The 18,404-nt window shown below is 49.4% G+C and overlaps 1 protein-coding gene across 9 annotated transcripts in view, besides 1 other annotated feature; it reads right to left on the bottom strand.

The window, feature by feature from the left end:
- ADCY5 (adenylate cyclase 5) overlaps window positions 1-18,404 on the bottom strand; it is a 166,795-nt gene that overhangs the window by 111,748 nt on the left and 36,643 nt on the right. The window contains exon 1 of one of the 9 annotated variants that reach the window (XM_011512361.2): window positions 10,396-10,537. The exons of 7 other annotated variants lie outside the window; for them this stretch is intronic. The gene's annotated coding sequence lies outside the window, so the exon portion shown is untranslated. Of the gene's footprint in view, window positions 1-7,900; window positions 7,920-10,395; window positions 10,538-18,404 lie in introns of those variants that run through there. One more of the 9 variants, XM_047447364.1, reaches the window with a different exon arrangement.
- Window positions 17,793-18,318: an enhancer, noted in NCBI's record as "H3K4me1 hESC enhancer chr3:123130683-123131208 (GRCh37/hg19 assembly coordinates)". NCBI's record gives its function as "activates a minimal SCP1, AML or CMV promoter by ChIP-STARR-seq in naive H9 embryonic stem cells {active_cell/tissue: H9 hESC(naive)}" and the evidence as "EXISTENCE:reporter gene assay evidence [ECO:0000049][PMID:30033119]".

The following is an 18,404-nucleotide window of genomic DNA, read 5'->3' on the forward strand; positions in this document are numbered from 1 at the left end:
CACTTCAACCCATAAGGTGGAGGTTGCAGTGAGCCAAGATCGTGCCACTACACTCCTGCCTAGGCAACAGAGTGAGACTCTATCTCAAAAAAAAAAAGTTAGTGACATTTTAAATTTGTTTTTCTAACTTTAAAGAGATACACATAATTTTCTCTCTTCTCTTAACTCAATTTGATTTTAAAACATTTCTTTTCATCCAAATCAGAAATAATAAAGGATATTGCCTCCACTCCTACCACCTTAGCAAATCAATTGTTTCTATGTTTCCTTCTGGGGATCTCATTGTTTTTGAACGAATTTTTTTTAAAATGCATATCTAGGGTAGCACCTCATCCATCTATAGCACAACTGAGAGCGGGGAAATAGCCAAAAAGGCATCTGATGGGACAAAGTAGCTGTCACTTAGACTCCACACTCACATTCATGACTTGAACCAGAAGTGATCATCTCAGATTGTCACAAGTACCTGATAACTGTTGGTGTCCAAAAATTCTAATAATATACTTGTTAAGCTCGTGCAGTTTAGAAATAGCAAACTGGAAGGGAAGGTAGGATGGGGGCGGGGCAGAGCCACTTTGGCAGGCACTGTGATAACACTGAAAAGTGGTAAGGCACAGTTTATTAATGAGGAACAAGACAGAAAATGAGTTCTTAAAGTAAGCATAAGTTATCAAAACACCCAGTTGGACCTCTCTAGGGTACGAGCAAACCTCCTCTGACCCTCCTGAGGCCTGCTTTGTATTGTGGCAGGGGATGATAATTAACTAATGCAATGGTGACCTGAGTCACCCAGAAAAGGTCGCATCAGCAACTACTTCAGGAAGTGGACAAAGCATGTACTTTCAGAAGACTTCTATCAGGAAGAATTATAATAATAAATGCTGGCATGAATTTTTGATTATCCAGAAAAGCAGGCCACACAGAATGGCCCATTCCTCAAGGGTTCTGAAGAGAAGGTTGTTACTGAGACCCTTCATTTTTTAAGTGAAAATGACCCTTTGGACAGTCCCCACTTTTGGTGGGCCTTGTGTGATGTGCAGAAGGGCTCCCTAACTCTCAAGGACATAGACCTCTCCCCACTCAGAGGGCTGACCCCTTCAGGCCAATGCCCAGACCCAGAGGGGAATGTCAGTCCCTTGTCCCCTGGTCTAACTATCTGATAAATGGGCAATCCAGGGCCTTCAAGGCCTCCCAAATTGGTCTCCATGTGGCTCCACAATGGCTTATCTCCCAATAAACAGCTAAGCTGTAACCCCAGTCTACCTCCTCTCCCCTAAACATGCCCATCCTCCTTCACAGCACCTGTTCAGCCTGCCTCATATCTCCTGCCACTTCCCTCCCCATCAAAATCCCCCTCTGCCTGCTGAATCCTCCTCCGCCTCACAGGCTCCTTTCCATACTGAGTGGATGGCGCTGCCTGTACACCGCCTCCTTGGCTCTGTAAGCTACGTGCAGACAGACACTCCTATTTGGTTCCCTACAGGAACAGCACTGTCTCAGCACCTGGTGGACCTTCAATAAACTTTTGCTGGATTTGAAAACCCATGTCAGCCAGGCATGGTGGCTCACGTGTTACATAATCCCAGCACTTTGGGAGGGTGAGGTGGGAGGATTGCTTGAGTCCAGGAGTTCAAGACTAGCCTTGGCAACATAGTGTGACCCCGTCTCTACAAAAAAAAAAATTTTTTTAATTGCCGGGTGTGGTGGCATGTGCCTGTAGTCCCAGCTACTTGGGAAGCTGAGGTGGGAGGACCACTTGAGCCTAGGAAGTCGAGGTTGCAGTGAGCCATGATTTCACCCCTGCACTCCAGACTGGGAAACAGAGTGAAGATCCTGTCTCAAAAAAAGAAAGAGAGAGAGAGAAAGAGAGAAAGAAAGGAGTGGAGAGAAGGAAGGAAGGAAGGAGAGACAGAGAGAAAGAAAGGAAGAAAGGAAGGAAAGAAAGAAACAGAAAGAAAGAAAGAGAGAAAGAGAGAGGGAGGGAGGGAGAGAGGGAGGGAGGGAGAGAGGGAGGGAGGGTGGGAGGGAGAGGGAGGGAGGGAAGGAGGGAGGGAAGGAAGAAGACAGAAAGAAAGAGAGGGCAAGAGAGGGAAAAAAGAAGAGAAAAGGGAAGAAAAGAAAAGAGAAGAAGGGAGGGAGGGAAGAAGGAAGGAAGGAAGAAAAGAAAGAGAAAGAAAGAAAAAGAAACAAAGAAAGAGAAAAAGAGAGAGGGAGGGAAGGAAGGAGAGAAAGAGAGAGAGGGAAAGAGGGAAAATAAGAAAGAAAGAAAGATGAAAAAGGAAAGGAAAAGAAAAGAGAAGAAAAAGAGAGAGAAGGGAGGGAGGAAGAAGGAAGGAAGGGAGGGAAAGAGAGAAAAAGAAAGAGAAAGAGAGAGAGAGGGAGGGAGGGAAAGAGAAAGGAAGGAAGGGAGGGAAGGAGACAAAGAAAGAAAGAAAGAGAGAGAGGGAAAGAGGGAAAATAAGAGAAAGAAAGAAAGAGAGAGAGAAAGAAAAGAAAGAAAGAAAGAAAGAAAAAGAGAAAGAAAGGAAGAAAAAGAAAAGAAAAGAGAAGAAAAAAGAGAGAAGGGAGGGAGGAAGAAGGGAGGGAGGGAGGGAAGGAGACAGAAAGAGAGAGAGAGGGAAAGACGGAAAATAAGAACAAAAGAAAGAGAGAGAGAGAGGGAGGGAGGGAGAGAGAAGGGAGGGAGGAAGGAAGGAAGGAAGGAAGGAAGGAAGGAAGGAAGGAAGGAAGGAAGGAAGGCAGGCAGGCAGGCAGGCAGGCAGGCAGGCAGGCAGGCGAGAGAGAGAGAGAGAGAGAGAGACAGAGAACCCATATCCATACCACAGTGGATCACGGGCCCTGCTTTCTGTAGCACACAGGGGCATGCACGCCTGCGGGCACTTCACACACATGCCTCACCCTTCCCATGACTTTGGGGAAACTTCTGTACAATGTGAGCTCCCGGAACTGGGAAAGGAAGAAAGGTCCCGCCGAGAAGGAATTCCCCTGGCCCAATAAGGATTTATGCTATTATTTTTCCTTCCACAAACCCTCAATAAACAGAAGAGCTAAATTTGTCTCTGTCCTGACATTCCTAAGAATGGGTGGAACTAGGTGGAAGGGAAGGGGCCCTGCCAGCACTTGCCTCTGTGCCTCCTCTAGCTGACTTTTTCCTTACTGCTCGCTGCAGCACAGCAGAGGGGGAGGCATAGAAATATCCAGAATCACTTGCCCCTCTTCTGCCCCACTTCAAGCAGGAGTCCTGCCTGTGCTCAAAGACTGCCAAGGAAAGGAATGGACTCATCCATGCCAGCCCTTAATCACCATGGCTGGCCAGGCGCAGTGGCTCACGCCTGTGATCCCAACACTTTGGGAGGCCGAGGCGGAAGGATCCCTTGAGCTCCAGACTTTGAGACCAGCCTTGGCAAAAAAATCAAGACTCTGTCTCTACAAAAAGTTTTAAAATTAGCCAGGCAAGGTGGTGTATACCTGTAGTCCTAGCTACTCAGGAGGCTGAGGCAAGAGGATGGCTTGAGCCCAGGAGTTCAGGGTTACAGTGAGCTGTGATCACACCACTGCACTCCAGCCTGAGTGACAGAGAGAGATTCTCTCAAAATTTTCAAAGCTCATGTCTGGAAGTTCTTCCTAGTGTCTGGTTTAAATCCCTTCTTCTGTTCTGCAGGGAAGATCTTCTTTGCTATTCTCAACTACTTCTTCCTCTGATCTAAAGTCAAATGGACTTTTTCAAATCAGAGGGGAGGAGGTTAAGGAAGGGGACTGAGGAAAAGGGGGCTTTTGTAACTCTATCCCTGGCTCAAACCCTGGCTGGACAGATGAGGAACTAATAGGGTGAAAACAGACAGTGAAGGGGACTGTGTGGGTGTAGACACAGCACAGAGGCTGCTGGGAGAGTAAAGAGAGGACCAAGAGAAGAGCAAGAAGGGAAATTTAAGGGTTAACCCTCCTGTTGAAAAGTCTACCTGACTGCAAGGCACTGACAAAGCTGCTCGCGGGTGTCTTGGGGTTCAGGCACCCCTTTGTCTGGGTTACTCTACTGCCTCAGCCCTGCAGCACCAAAGCAACCATCTGCTGCCCTCCTGCACACAGCATTGGCAACCTGTGCCCACTGCCATGGCAACCAGCTCTCCCAGTACCTGGAGGTCAGGTCTCGCCAGCAATGAGGCCCCCACGTGATTTCTAACAAAGTTCCCCCCTGCCAAAACCAAGTGCTCCCCCTGCCCCTCTACTGGGACCCACACACTTTGGCTGCAGAGTGATGGAGGGACCTGAGGGTGCCCCAACTCGAACCGGTCACACACAGCCATCACATGGTCTAGGGAGTCTGCCCTGGGGTCTCCTGGACTGAGACAACACAGGATCCTGAACGGGGCTTGGTTCTCTGCCGTTTTGCAAGGACAGATCTGAATAATGTCTGACCATTTATGATCACTGCACCCCAGCCCCTTGTCGCCTCCAAACCATGCAGCACGCAGGGCCACTACCACAGGGATAATCTTCAAATACCATTTTCATCCAATCACTCTTCAGCTCAAGCGCCTAAAATAGCAGCCCCAGCTTATCAGATCAAATCTAAATGTTTGTAATATTTCTACCCCTACACACACACTCCAACCTCAACCCTAGGTCCTCACCATTCAAGTCACGTACATCTCCTTTCTGTCCCAATTTTCCTGTCCCTGCCGTTTTCTTTGCCCATGCCATTAACCCCCTCCTGTGATGTCCTTGTCTTCTGGGTCATATCCACCTCCTTTAGCGAGCCACACTGCAGTCTGTCACTATAACTATTTGTACCTACCATGGTGTTAGGTGCAAATGAGTAAAACTGTAAAGGATCATCTTTCTGCCTGTGGGTTCCAAATTTCACTGCAAGCTCATCAATGGGAGAGCTTTCTCCTTCATTAGGCCTCGAGAATCCCCTGTTGGACTGGGAGCTCCCATAGGGCCGGCCATCCAGCTATCCCCTTAGAATCTCCCAGGGGCAGGACTGGGGGAGCTCTCTCCATACCCTCCCCAAGCTTCAGCCCCGCACTGGCTTCTCTAAGGGTTCCAAGGCAAGCTGGAGGGCCAAAGTCTAGAGCAGTGCTGCCCAGTGGAGCTCTCTGCAATGCTGGAATGTTCCATAGATACCAGATTCCAAAGACTTGATGTGAACAAAAGATGTAAAGTCACCCACACGTATTTTTCATATTGGTTACCTGTTAAAATGATAATATTTGGATATGCTGGGTTAAATAAAGTGTATGCCTAAAACTCAGTTTACCTGTTTCTTTTCCCTTTTTAAAAAATACAGCTATGGAAAAATATTAAATTACACATATAGCTCACATTATGTTTCTATTGGACCATGGTCATCTATTTTATGTTAAAATGGTCTCTACCCACCGAAGGGTGTAATGAGCGTCCCATCTGAATTGTCCCTAGTTCTTACTTTCTTTTCCCTCTCCATACTGCTTTGTTTTCTTAGGCTTATTTTTTTTTTACTGTGGTAAAAAACACATAACGTAAAATCTACCCTCTTAACACATTTTGAAGTGGAGAGTACATTATTGTTAACTATATGCATATTATTGTACAGCATCACTTTTCTCAGTTTAGTTTTCTTTAACCTTGATGTCTGCTTCTTCGATAGATACCTCCAATTATTTCTGGAACAAACTGGTATTACCAGTTAGTTAATTGACTTAGACCTTTAGTGCCCTAATGCTGAATCTTTCATCCCAGGAACGCTTCAGGAATAACCATAATCATAACAGCACATTTCATTTGTACTGCTTACAGTATGGGTGTGCTTTTTGCATGAGTCAGTTCATGTAACGACCCTGTGGAACATGCAAGTCGGGAATTAATATCCCCAAGTCAACAGGTAAGGAAACAGAAGGCCAGGGGTTAAGGGCTGTGTACAAAGGCAGCTGCACAACTAAAGTTCAACCCCTGGACCCCTGGCCACTTTCCATTCCACGCATGCAGTAAGCACAATGAACATGGGTTCAGACGCAGCAGTTACATGTTCTCTTGCCCCATCAAGAATTGTCTCTGCAATAGGAGGGACTGGGACACTGCTGATAAAAAGGGAAGTGTTACTAAGATAGGAGCAGCTAGTGAGGAGAGTTAAGAGGTCTAAAACAGAATCTGTGGGTCTGGGGTCCAGAATCACCTCTGCTCCCAAGTAACTGCATGCCCTTGGATCACTGCTTTTACATCCTGGGCTTTGGTTTCCTCATCTGTGCTACAAGCAGCCGGATGCTTCAAGACGCAGCTAGACCAGCACCGCTTGCCCTTCTAGTGGGAATGTGAACCAGCTCAATCCTTTTGTACAGCAATTTGGCAATATGTGTCAAGAGCCTCAGAAACTCTTTGACCCACTAATTCTGCTTCTGAGAATCCTAAGGAAATAATCCTTAAAAAGGAAAAAGCCTTATGTGCAAAGACCTTCATCTCAGCACTGTTTATAACACTAACAAACTGGAAATGAGCTAAAGTCTAATAATAGGAGAATGGGTAAACTGTGATATGGTAAATCCCTTTAATGAAATATTATGCAGTTATTTAAAATAATGCAGTATCTGTAGAAAACATGCATTTGGCCACGTGAAAGAGGCAGGATATTAAAAAGCTGATATGGGCCAGGCACGGTGGCTCACGCCTGTAATCCCAGCACTTTGGGAGGCCAAGGCAGGCGGATCATGAGGTCAGGGGTTCGAGACCAGCCTGACCAATATGGTGAAACCCCATCTCTACTAAAAATACAAAATTAGCCAGGTGTGGTGGCATGCGCCTGTAATCCCAGCTACTCAGGAGGCTGAGGCAGGAGAATCGCTTGAACCTGGGAGGTGGAGGTTGCACTGAGCCGAGATCACGCCACTGCACTCCAGCCTGGACAAGAACAAAACTCCGTCTCAAAAAAAAAGAAATAAAAATAAAAATAAATAAATAAATAAATAAAGAGCTGATACGGTATGAAAGCAGTTAAATTTTAAAAAGAAAAAGGAACACTGCACTCCTGTGGGGACACACATGTATGTCCACAAAAAGCTAGAAGATAATTCATTGTAACGCTAATAGTGGCTATTTAGAGTGACGGGACTAGAGGTGTTTGTTTTTTCTTCTTTTCTCAGTTTCCCAATATGCATAAATAATTTTGAAAAACTTACATAGCAAAGATCCTGGATTTGAAGGTCCCCAAGAGCACGCATGGCTCTAACATGTCCGGGTAGGTCAGACAGGTGGTAAATGAGGTTGCACACTAAGCCCAGGCTCAGCTCTGGGGGCTCAGGGAAATGACAAGCACCTGAGGGCTGGGGAACCAGGGACCAGCAGAGCCCCATCCAGATGGGGAATGGCCATTCCTACCATCCCATCCCTCTACTTTAAAAAATGAGAGGGAAGGGCCATTTTTGTGGCTATTCGCACTTAGGATGAAAAACAAGCATCTGTCTGACCATCCTTGGAGCCCACATAGTGGCTGGAGTCAGGTAGAGGAGCTAAGCAGGGAAGGGAGAGACATCACCCTCAATGGCTACTAACAGCTTTGCCCAGGGGCACCTACATAAGATTTTGTTGGAACAAGTGGTGGAAAGGTCAAGGCAGCATTTCTGGGGGGTAGGGAAGAGAAGCTGGGATCCCTCCTGAGTCCTAATCTCCCTCCCTGGTCAGCATTCTTCATGGCAGGAACTTTTCCCCAAACTTTCCAGTCCCTTTTGGCTGTTCTCTGAGACCTCTGCTCAGAGGTAGTGAGGAGAGGTAGTGTGGCAGGTAGCTCTTACCGAACCTACCTAAAAACCCGGCCTGTCTCAGAAAGGGTCTTAGAAATATACCGAAAGACTCAGATGTCCCCCTAGATGACTCCACGGTGCCTGTCCCTGCAGAATCCACAGTCAAAGACCCGGTGCACAGGTCATACCTCAGATACAGCCTCGACAGGCTGGAGCAAATCCAGAGGACAGGGTCACATGGACAAGGGCTATGAAGAGAAGCTTATCCACCAGTTCCTCCAAGACCAGTGCTGGGCACCCCTGAGAGCTTAAAGGTAGTGTGATTAGGACACAAAAGGGAAGTGTGTTCTGAGCTGGATGGGGACCCATGGCCCTCGTCTCTCTATGAGCTGAGATAGGCTGAGAACACAAGAGGCTTAGGGAGGGTTCCAACATGTTAAAGAGAAGGCAGAACCACAGTCGGTTATCAGGGCACGTGAGAGATGCCTAGACCACAAGCAGGACCTTTTAAGGTTGATGGCAAGGAGGAAAACCCTCGACTCTCCAAACATACTGCCTGGAGCAGACCCAGAGGTGGAATGCCGGGGCTGCAGAGCATGGCTCCAACCCAGAGTTACTATTCTTGGGATCAAATCTGGCTGCCTGACAGCACTGGATTGATGGTGACTGGTGGCCATGTGTTGACAATGCCGGCAGGATGCTGGAAGCCAAGGGGGCCCAGGAAGGCAAGCACCGGCTTCTTTTGAATCTCTCCATCCAAGGAAGAGCAGCTCATAGGACCAGGTTGGGAAAATGTTTAAAGGAGCCCTAGTCGGCTGGGCGTGGTGGCTCACGCCTGTAATCCCAGCACTTTGGGAGGCTGAGACGGGTGGATCACGAGGTCAGGAGATTGAGACCATCCTGGCTAACACGGTGAAACCCCGTCTCTACTAAAAATACAAAAAAAAATTAGTCAGGCGTGGTGGTGGGTGCCTGTAGTCCCAGCTACTCGGGAGGCAGAGGCAGGAGAATGGCGTGAACCCGGGAGGCGGAGCTTGCAGTGAGCCGAGATCGCGCCACTGCACTCCAGCCTGGGCAACAGAGTGAGACTCAGTCTCAGGAAAAAAAAAAAAAAAGGAGCCCTAGTCGTGTCTACAATTTCTTCTTTTTCGCAGGGAAGATGTATTTATGTTATATTTATTATATAATTAGAGATTGGTGATTTAAAAAGAAAAAAAGGAAAGCAGTAAAGCATTCCTCAACACTGTGTGATGGCAAGGAAATCAAAAGATGTCTTCACCAGTGTCTCCCCATCTGTCCTCTGCATCTTGCAATGTCTTGAGCAGCACTTAGAGCACAGATTGGCCAGACACGGTGGCTCACGCCTGTACTCCCAGCATTTCGGGGGGCCGCGGCAGGCAGATCCCTTGAGCTCAAGTGTTGGGGACCAGCCTGGGCAATATGGGGAAACCCCATCTCTACAAAAGATACAAAAACTAGCCAAGTGTAGTGGCACACATCTGTGGTCTCAGCTACCTAGGAGGCTGAGGTGGGATTCCTTGAACCTGGGAAGATGAGGCTGCAGTGAGCCATGATTGCACCAACCACTACATGCCAGCCTAGGCAACAGAGCGAGACCCTGTCTCAAAAAAAAAAAAAAAAAAAAAAGAGTACAGATTACATGTTTAGAGCCAGAAAGCCCTGGGTTCATTCAAGCTGTGGCTCCACCACCAACGGCCTGTGTTGCCTGGGCCTGCTTTCCTCACCAGTAAGAGGGGATGGCAATAACACCCATGTGAGAGGATGGCTAAGAGGAAAAACTCAGGGAGCATTGTTGAGTGAACAAGTGAGGTGCGCAATCAGTCCCTGGGTCCATCCCTCTAGGAATGCTGCCCTCTCCTCCCAATCCCCCTCAACACCACTGCCGTGAGAATCAATCAGCCACATCACTCAAAAACTCCTGGAGGGTCCCTGCTGTCTAGGAAATTAAGAATGAACTCCTGAGTTGGGCTTTCCCAGCCCACCAGGAGCTGCTCCTCACACATCCGCCCTGCATGGACCCCGGGTCCCTCCTTCCTGTATGTCTTTGTCACACTCTTCTATCCCTTTGGCTCTCAATCTCATCCCTCTCTGGAATCCATATCCATCCTCTGGACCTTCTCTGCTCTCTCCAGACAGAAGGGAATTCTCTGTCTCTCTCCTGTAGCCTTCCTTACATGCTATTCTGACTACAGCCAGCTACACACAGGTGTTCATCTTCCTGACTATAGCAAACATTTTGATTTACAAAGTGTTAGTTTACAAGAAAGGAGTAAGACCCACTTCTCTTCCCTTGAAGAACCTGAAATCCAGTGAAGAAGATCAAGATATGCCCCCCAGGAAACATTTAACAAAGCAGAACAGCCGATTACAAAGCACCAGCGAAGGCCACACAGTCAGCACTGTGTCTGAGTTACAATGTCACATTACCTCGAGGCTCTGGAAGGGGACTTTCAAATGCAGACCAAAAGGCTGGTTGACAAGCACCCCGAGTGCTGAGAACATAAGACTCAAAAAAGAGACAGTTCCCTCTTCACCGAGCTTTCCGACCTTGGACAAACACCACCCTTGCCAGACACAGTGGGTGAGCAAGGTAACCCCTCAAGCCACCGGTCAGTTCAGAACACTAAGCAGAGGCCCTCCTGGCAGCATCTTCAGCCCTTACCTTCTCACTGCTCCATCCAGACCTCCCACTCCACCATGGTCAGGGGCCAGGAGGTGGGCAGTCGGCCCATGTCCCCTGCCTGTGTCTGAGGCCCAGCTTCTGCCTTGCCCCATCTTTCCAGCTGTGTTCCAGAGAGAAGAATGTGCACTATGCCCAGAATAAACACTAGCACAGGCCTCCTGAGTGGGAAGGCCACTGGGGAAAGAAGTGGGAGGCTCCATCTTCTCAGACAAGAGCTCCCAGCCGCAGGGGCTCTGAGGGTGTTGTGGGTCCACTCTGAGTTCAGCACTCGAGAATTTTTGGATTAGGTGGAGCCTGATGGGAAAAATCACAAGGCCAGGGCTCACTACCTTGGCCAGCAGGGAAAACAGACTGGAGGAGTCAAGCCAAATGTGGACACATCTGGGCAGGAGACCTCTCTGCTGAAACACACATTTCTGTTTTATTCTATCTATTCAGACCCCATCTTCAACTGGCTCTGAAAAAGAGACCTCACCAGTGTGGTCTGATCAGTGTGTTTATCTTGGGGTCTCAGCACCTAACTCTGGGCCTCAGTTTTCTGACAAACCTGCCCCCCTTGTTTCACCAGTGCTGCTGGAATGGTAGGGCGATGCCAGAAGGGCAGGGCAGAGGAAAGAGCCTGCGACAGCTGCTGGAAGTGCCACCTGTCACCGTGCTGCTGCAGTACCTGCTGGAGCAGCCCTGAAAACAGAGCAGCTCAGCGAAGGCCGGCGAGGCCAAGCAGCACAGGCTCCCCAGTCCTGTCCTCTCTCATGCTGTGGCTCTGGTTTTCATGCCAAGGGACTCCAGCCCTCCGCCAGGCTGCAGCAGCCTTGCCCCGCGGACTCCCTTGGCTGCATGGCCAGGCTCTGAGCACCAGTCTAGAGCACAGGATGGAGAAGCACGGACAAGGCATGTCAGGCTGCAGGGTTTCCACGTCAGAATTCTTCCCTTGTGTGGAATGCAAATGCTTCCAGACCCAGAACACCGGCACAGAGAGGACTGAACACCAACTTGGTTCTCTCCTTTAGGACCTGAGAGATCTGTGAGAGGTGAGGAGGGAGCAGGACAGGAGGGGAGAGGTGCCTCCTGCCAGGCCTGAGCAGGGCCATACCAAATGCAAGGCCCGTGGCCTTCCCCACTAGACCATCATGCCATTTTATTTTATTTATTTTATTTTATTTTACTCCATTTTATTTTATTTTATTTATTTTGAGTCAGAGGCTCGCTTTGTCGTCCAGGCCAGAGTGCGGTGGCGCCATCTTGGCTCACTGCAACCTCCACCTCCCAGGTTCAAGCAATTCTTGTGTCTCAGCCTCCCAAGTAGCTGGGACTACAGGCACCTGCCACCAGGCCGGGCTGGTTTTTGTATCTTTAGTAGAGATGGGGTTTCACGATGTTGGCCAGGCTGGTCTAAAACTACTGGCCTCAAGCGATCTGCCTGCCTTGGCCTCCCAAAGTGCTGGGATTACAGGTGTGAGCCACCACACCCAGCACTTTTTATTTTTCATCTCTGATACTTTGAAATCTGGGGTCTCGCTGACCCTGGAGGGACCGACTGCTCTTCCCAGGCCTAGCCAATTCCTAGAGACAGTAAATGACTTGCTTGTGAGTGCACCTTTCATATGCAAACCAACCAATCCAGAGGCCATACTCCCAACCACCTTCTTTATTGGGTTCTTATACTCAAGGCCATTACTTTCCTACCCTAATCACCCCAGGGTCAGGTACTGAACAACCAGAGACAGCCTCTAGGCTCCAGGGCCTGCTGTAGTTATTCAAACTGCCAATCCTAAACCTGCTGACCCCGCCTCTCTGTTCCTTCCCTGGAAACCACAATAAAGGCTCTTGCCCACATTTCTCCCTGGCTCCCTCTGCCTCCTGACTGACCCTGGCATTTCCCCGTGTGGCCCCCGCATGGCATGGCATGGCATGTGCCCTCCTCTTGGGAGCCATGAGTAACAAACTATCTTTTCCACGGTGGTTGTCTCCCGATCTGTTGGCCACACCATACCTGAACAATAATAAAACCTACGGTTTAAAATACCCACATGCAGGGCTCCCCAGGCAGTCACAGAGATTATTGTCTGGTGCCCCTGATCAGCAAAGCGGCGTTTTCATTTCAGTTGGAGAGAGTGAAGAGGAGAGGAAAGGGATTTTTTTCTTTCCTCCTGAAATTGGGCTCTTGGGACTCAAGGTTATTCCCTTTCCATTTCTCCCATGGTCACTCAAAATGGCACAAATAATGGCTTAATGAGCACTGGCTCTGTTGTAATGATGGGAGGGACAAGGACGCTTGGCCGACCGGGGTTGAGCAAGTCTGCACTCCCATGACTCCACCCAGCTGGACTCCTAATAAGGCCCTCTCAACAGTGCCTGGGCCCTCTCCACTTGAGCTGGCTCTCCTCCAGAACACGCCACTGCCTTCCTTGGCCAGGCTGCCACTAGCACACCCACCCTGCAGGCCAAGCCGCCGCCACTGCTCCTGCTCCTATGGGAATCCAGGACCTTTTCCATCTGGGCACCAGGTCACTCCTTGGTTTTGGACCAAAATGCCTCGCTTTGAAACCGTCCACACCCAGACCTGCAGACATCTTTGGAGTTCAGCCACCACATTTCCCTGAACTGGCTGCTCCTCTATTCTAGGAACGTGATACCCCCTCAGCTGCCCCTCCTGGCCAAGCTTTATCCTCCCACTCTGACCTCTGGGTCCCTCAAGGCCACATACCCAGCCCCAGCTCTAACCATCAACTCTCCCTTCTCCAGACACCCTACTGCTCTCAGCCTCCCCACAGGCCATGCCATCGCCATCAGTGCACACCCCTCTCCTGAGATGCCCTCTCTTCTTAAACATGCATCACACTTCAGCAACCAGCAGTAGCACTTGGATTTCTCTGGTCATCAAAAAGAATGGGATCAGATAAATGAAATGTGCTCTAGCTATAAAATGGAATATTATTCATCCATAAAACACGAATAAAGTACTGATTCATACTACAATGTGGATGAACCTGAAAAATATTTTGCAAATGCCAGGTATAGTGGCTCATCCCTATCATCTCAGCACTTTGGGAGGCCAAAGCAGGAGGTATCGCTTGAGCTCAGAAGGTTAAGACCAGCCTGGGCAACATAGTGAGACCCTATCTCTACTAAAAAAAAAAAAAAAAAAAAAATTAGCTGGGCACGGTGGTATGCACCTGCAGTCTCAGCTACTAGGGAGTCTGAGGTTGGAGGATTGCTTAAGCCAGGGAGATAAAGGCTACTGTGAGCTATTATATGATCATTCCACTGCACTGCAGCCTGGGCAACAGAGTGAGACCCTGTCTCAAAAAAAAAAAAAGTTGCAAAGTGAAAGAAGTCAGACACAAAAAGATACATATTGTTATGATTCCACTTATAGGACATATCCAGAATAGGTAAATCCATACAGACATTAAGCAGACTAGTGGTTGCCAGGGGCTGAGGGGAGGAGGAAATTCGGAGTGACTACTAATGGGTATTGGGTTTTCTTTGGGGCTGACAAAAATGTTTGGGATAGACAGAGGTGGAAAATTGAATTTCATCTCAATTTTTTAAAGCGTGGTTTTTTAGAAAACGCATCAATTATGTACAGAATTATGTACAGTGGCCACATAAAAAGAAATATCAGAGGTGGTCTCAGAGAATACAAAGAGCCCTGGACCTACGGTGAAAAATCTAGACACCAGTTCCATGTTTGATGCCTGGGACACATTAAGCAAATCATGGAACATCACTTCCAAGGGATGCTCTACCGCATGAACATGGTCGTAACACGTATTTTCAGTGTCGTTATGAGAATCGAGTGAGATAATGTAGGAACAGCACACAAAAGACATTCATTTGTACACTCAGCAAGAAAATTAGCATACAAATGTTACGTTTTTTGTTTTTTTTTTTTTTTTTAAAGGCAGACGTTGGCCGGGCACGGTGGCTCACGCCTGTAATCCAAGCACTTTGGGAGGCCGAGGTGGGCGGATCACGAGGTCAGGAGTTCGAGACCAGCCAGCCCAATATGGTGAAACCCCATCTCTACTAAAAATACAAAAATTAGCTGGGCACAGTGGCATGCGCCTGTAGTCCCAGCTACTCGACAGGCTGAGGCGGAAGAATCACTTGAACCCAGGAGGCGCAGGTTGCAGTGAGCCGAGATGGCGCCACTGCACTCCAGCCTGGGCGACAGAGCAAGATTGCATCTAAAAAAAAAAAAAAGCAGACACAAAGTTCTAGCTGTACTCGGCCGGGCATGGTGGCTCACTCCTGTAATCTCAGCACTTTGGGAGGCCGAGTGGGTGGATCACCTGAGGGTAGGAATTCAAGATCAGCCTGGCCAACATGGTGAAACCCCATCTCTACCAAAAATACAAAAATTAGCCAGGTGTGGTGGCAGGTGGCTGTAATCCAGCTACTAGGGAGGCTGAGACAGGAGAATCGTTTGAACCCAGGAGGCAGAGGTTGCAGTGAGCCGAGGTCCTGCCACTGCACTCCAGCCTGGGCAACAGAGTGAGACTCTAACTCAAAAAATAAAATAAAATAAAAATAGCTATAACAAACCACATTTACTTACATAAAAATGTATCTCTGTAGATAAAGTATAGAAAAGATTTAGAGAGCTAGCTGGTGTTTTAAGCTTATGAAATATTTTCTATAAAATTATCTATACAGGCAGCCAGGCTCTTGATCTGGCTCTGCCTATAACCAGCCTGGAAAGTCTTTATAAAATCTGCTCCCCATCTGACCTTGGGTTTTTAGAAAAGTTTAACCCTTATAAGGGTCTGCTTTAACTATATCCACTCAACACCTAGTTCCTCTATGTGCTAGGGGCTGTGCTAGGTGCCATGGGGGCCCCCAGGGATTGGTAAGAGTGAGTCCCAATACTCCAGGTGTGTACAGTCGCAGGCCATGAAACCAGGTAGCATGTGGGGAAAAAGGACAGACGGCCCAGCACATGCTAGTTCTCAGGGTGGCCACTGGAGAAGGTATCCTTGGAGTCAGGGTCTAAAGGTGGGATGCAGCTTTCACAGGTGGAAAGGATGTGTTCCTGCTAATAGTCCTGTCCAAGCAGCACAGATAGGTAAGGGAAGCACCACCAAAAATCCTCAACTGATTATCTAGCACAGTGGTTCTCCAAGTGGGATATCCAGAGCAGGAGCAGCTGCAGCATCACCCAGGAAGCAGCTAGACATGCAAATTATTGGGCTCCACCTCTGACCTTGTGACTCAGAAACTCTGGGAGCCCAGCAAGCTCTCCAGGAGGTTAAGATGCCCACTCATGTTGAGATGCCCCTCTTGCACCTCACCTGCTTCCTTAACAGAGGCCGGGCAGAAGGTAGAAACTGCCCCAGAGACATTCCCTCACTCACCGGCCCCTCCCACCCTCCAAGCCCCAGTTGGATGAGCTGAGAAAGTTCCCTGTGGTTAGAGGAGCTAATCTATCACCTGGATATAAATTAACTTGCCCTCTCTCGTCACCAGCCCACTGACCTGGGAAAGGCAAACACGCAGCTGGCAGGGAAAGAGCAGTAATAAATCTCTTTTTCTACAGGTCCTCCCACACCCACTTCCCCAACTGAGACCTGTGTTCCCTGAGGCAGTGTGGCCCCATAGCCCTGAGGTCCCTCTGCTCTCCCACATGAGCAGGTGCTGGATCCGGTCAACCCAGTGAGAGGCCCCCATCTGCCCTCAGGGCCTCCACCAGAACTAGGAGAATGAGAAAGGGAGGGAAGGATGGGGGCTGGAACACAGCTCATCACCCTTAAGGATGGCAGAGTGACTGGAAGCTTCCCTTGTAGAACTCCTCAGGAAACAGCCCACAAAGACTCCCTCCAGGGCAGCTCTGTCTTGGCAGAGTTCCATCCCCCTCCTCCTCCTCCCCCAACCCTTATCCCCCAATTCCTCCTCCTCCTCCTCAACACAGCAGCCTGGGGCCACCCCGTACCTCCCAGGCATAAGTAGGAATGGTAGAGCCATATCCCAAGGTGAACTGCCTGTTGGGGAAGGGCTAATCTCCTATTATTCCAACACCCTTGGCCACATCCTGCACTCTGTCTGCCTTTGGAATGACCAGGTGAAAACCAACATAACGTCCACCTTAGAAAGCTGCAGTAAGAATGAAATCTAACAGGACACATAAAGGACATAAAATAAAGGCTCAACAATGGCAGCTCTTAGATTAATCACCATCACATCCATTCTTTTTTTTTTGGAGGTAGAATCTCACTAGCTCTGTCGCCCAGGCTGGAGTGCAGTGGTGCAATCATAGCTTACTGCAGCCTCGAACTCCTGAGCTCAAGCGATCCTCCCACCTCAGCCTCTTGAGTAGCTAGGACTACAGGCATGTATCACCTTGCTGGGCTAACTTTTTCATTTTTTGTAGAGATGCAGTCTCACTATGTTGCCCAGGCTGCTCTCAATCTCCTGGCCTCAAGTGATCCTTCTGCCTGGGCCTCCCAAAGTGCTGGGATTACAGACGTGAGCCATCTCACCCCATCCTTATTCAAACTACTTAAATAGCTATCACCTACTGGATACGGCCTAAATTCCTTAGCACTAGCCATTCCAGCACCCACTTATCTCCAAAGCAGCAGCTATACCAAATCACTCAGGTTTGTCAAATATGCCCTCTACTACCAAGCCTAACCCGTTCCCTCCATGAGCCTCCTGTTTCAGTCTGCCAGAAAGCTCTTCTTCCTTGCCCTGTGCCTCCACCAACCTCTTCCATTGCAGTTTCCCTGGGCCTCCTGGAATCCACAGTCAAGGGCGTACTAGTGCCTGCTTCGAGGAGAGCCTGCCATCCACCATTGGGGTCCACTCAGAGGGCTGAGCAAGTATAAGAGCAAAACAAGTGTCTGGCAAGTGGACTGGATTCCCTTCAGTTCAGAAGGGAAACCAGAGCCTCAAATAAGCAGGGAGCAGACCCCTGACAGGCCTCACCGATCACTGACTAAGGAGTTAGATCACCGGGCTGGGGGCCTGTCCTCGGCACCTAGGGGAGGTAACACTCATAGTGCCTGAACTGAGACAGAAACTCCTGAGACAACAGATGCTGACTCAGCCTGAGGGGACAAAGGACAAAGGCCTAAGCCTGGCCCAGGATCCCAGTGCCTATCTTTCTCCTTCCCCTGCCTCTTATCCCCAACCCCCAGCCAGCAACATGTTTTAAGTCCAAGCTCCCACAGAGTGCCAGGCCCAGCACCCCCAATCCAACCCCAGGACTCGTTCCAGAGGCAAAGCAGGGTGGGGCAACAGTTGCTCCTGTCCTCACAGCCTGGTGACCAGGGTGGCCCTGGGACCAAAGCCTCTGGGCTCACAGCTTAACCTAATGGGACACCTGAGCTGACATGTCAATACAGGTGAGCAGGCCCACGTGGGGCTGTCCACCGTTGACAGCACAACAGAGTCCCAGGTGGACTCACTGTGGCCCTGTCACCCATCCCCTGCCCCCGCATAGCCCAGTGTCCATCCCCGCAGCCTGTGGGCCCAGGTACCAAGCCCACCCACACAGAACTCCACCTTTGGAACATGCCCTCTCCCCAGACAGGCATCTGAACTATCCTACCCTAGGCTCTGCCGGCATCCAGGAGCTCAGGATGCCTGCCCTCTCCTTTTGAGAAGGTGCCAACAAGCCCCCACTCATAAAACCTTCCTCCACATAGGGGAGGATGGGAAGAGACAGCAGGAGGGAACGAAGCTAGACCTCGAGGCTTCCTGACCACAAGGGGCACGCTGCGGCAGGAAAGAGGACACTTTGCCTCATAGGCCTCTCTAGCCATGGCCTGGGGGCCCTGTGTCCTACTGCAGATTCCTGCCACCAGGCTGCCCTTAGAGAAGGTATTCGCCCCAACAGGAGACAGGGTGTGGTGGGAGAAGTAAGAACAGACAGTAACAGAGAAAGGACCCAATAGGACGTCCCTGCGGGCTCTCCCCCAACTCTGAATAGATGCCAGACAACGCAACCACTGTGTCCTCCAAAAGCCGGGAAACCATGTACA

Source organism: Homo sapiens, chromosome 3, assembly GCF_000001405.40.
Source record: "Homo sapiens chromosome 3, GRCh38.p14 Primary Assembly".
Taxonomy (NCBI): domain Eukaryota; kingdom Metazoa; phylum Chordata; class Mammalia; order Primates; family Hominidae; genus Homo; species Homo sapiens.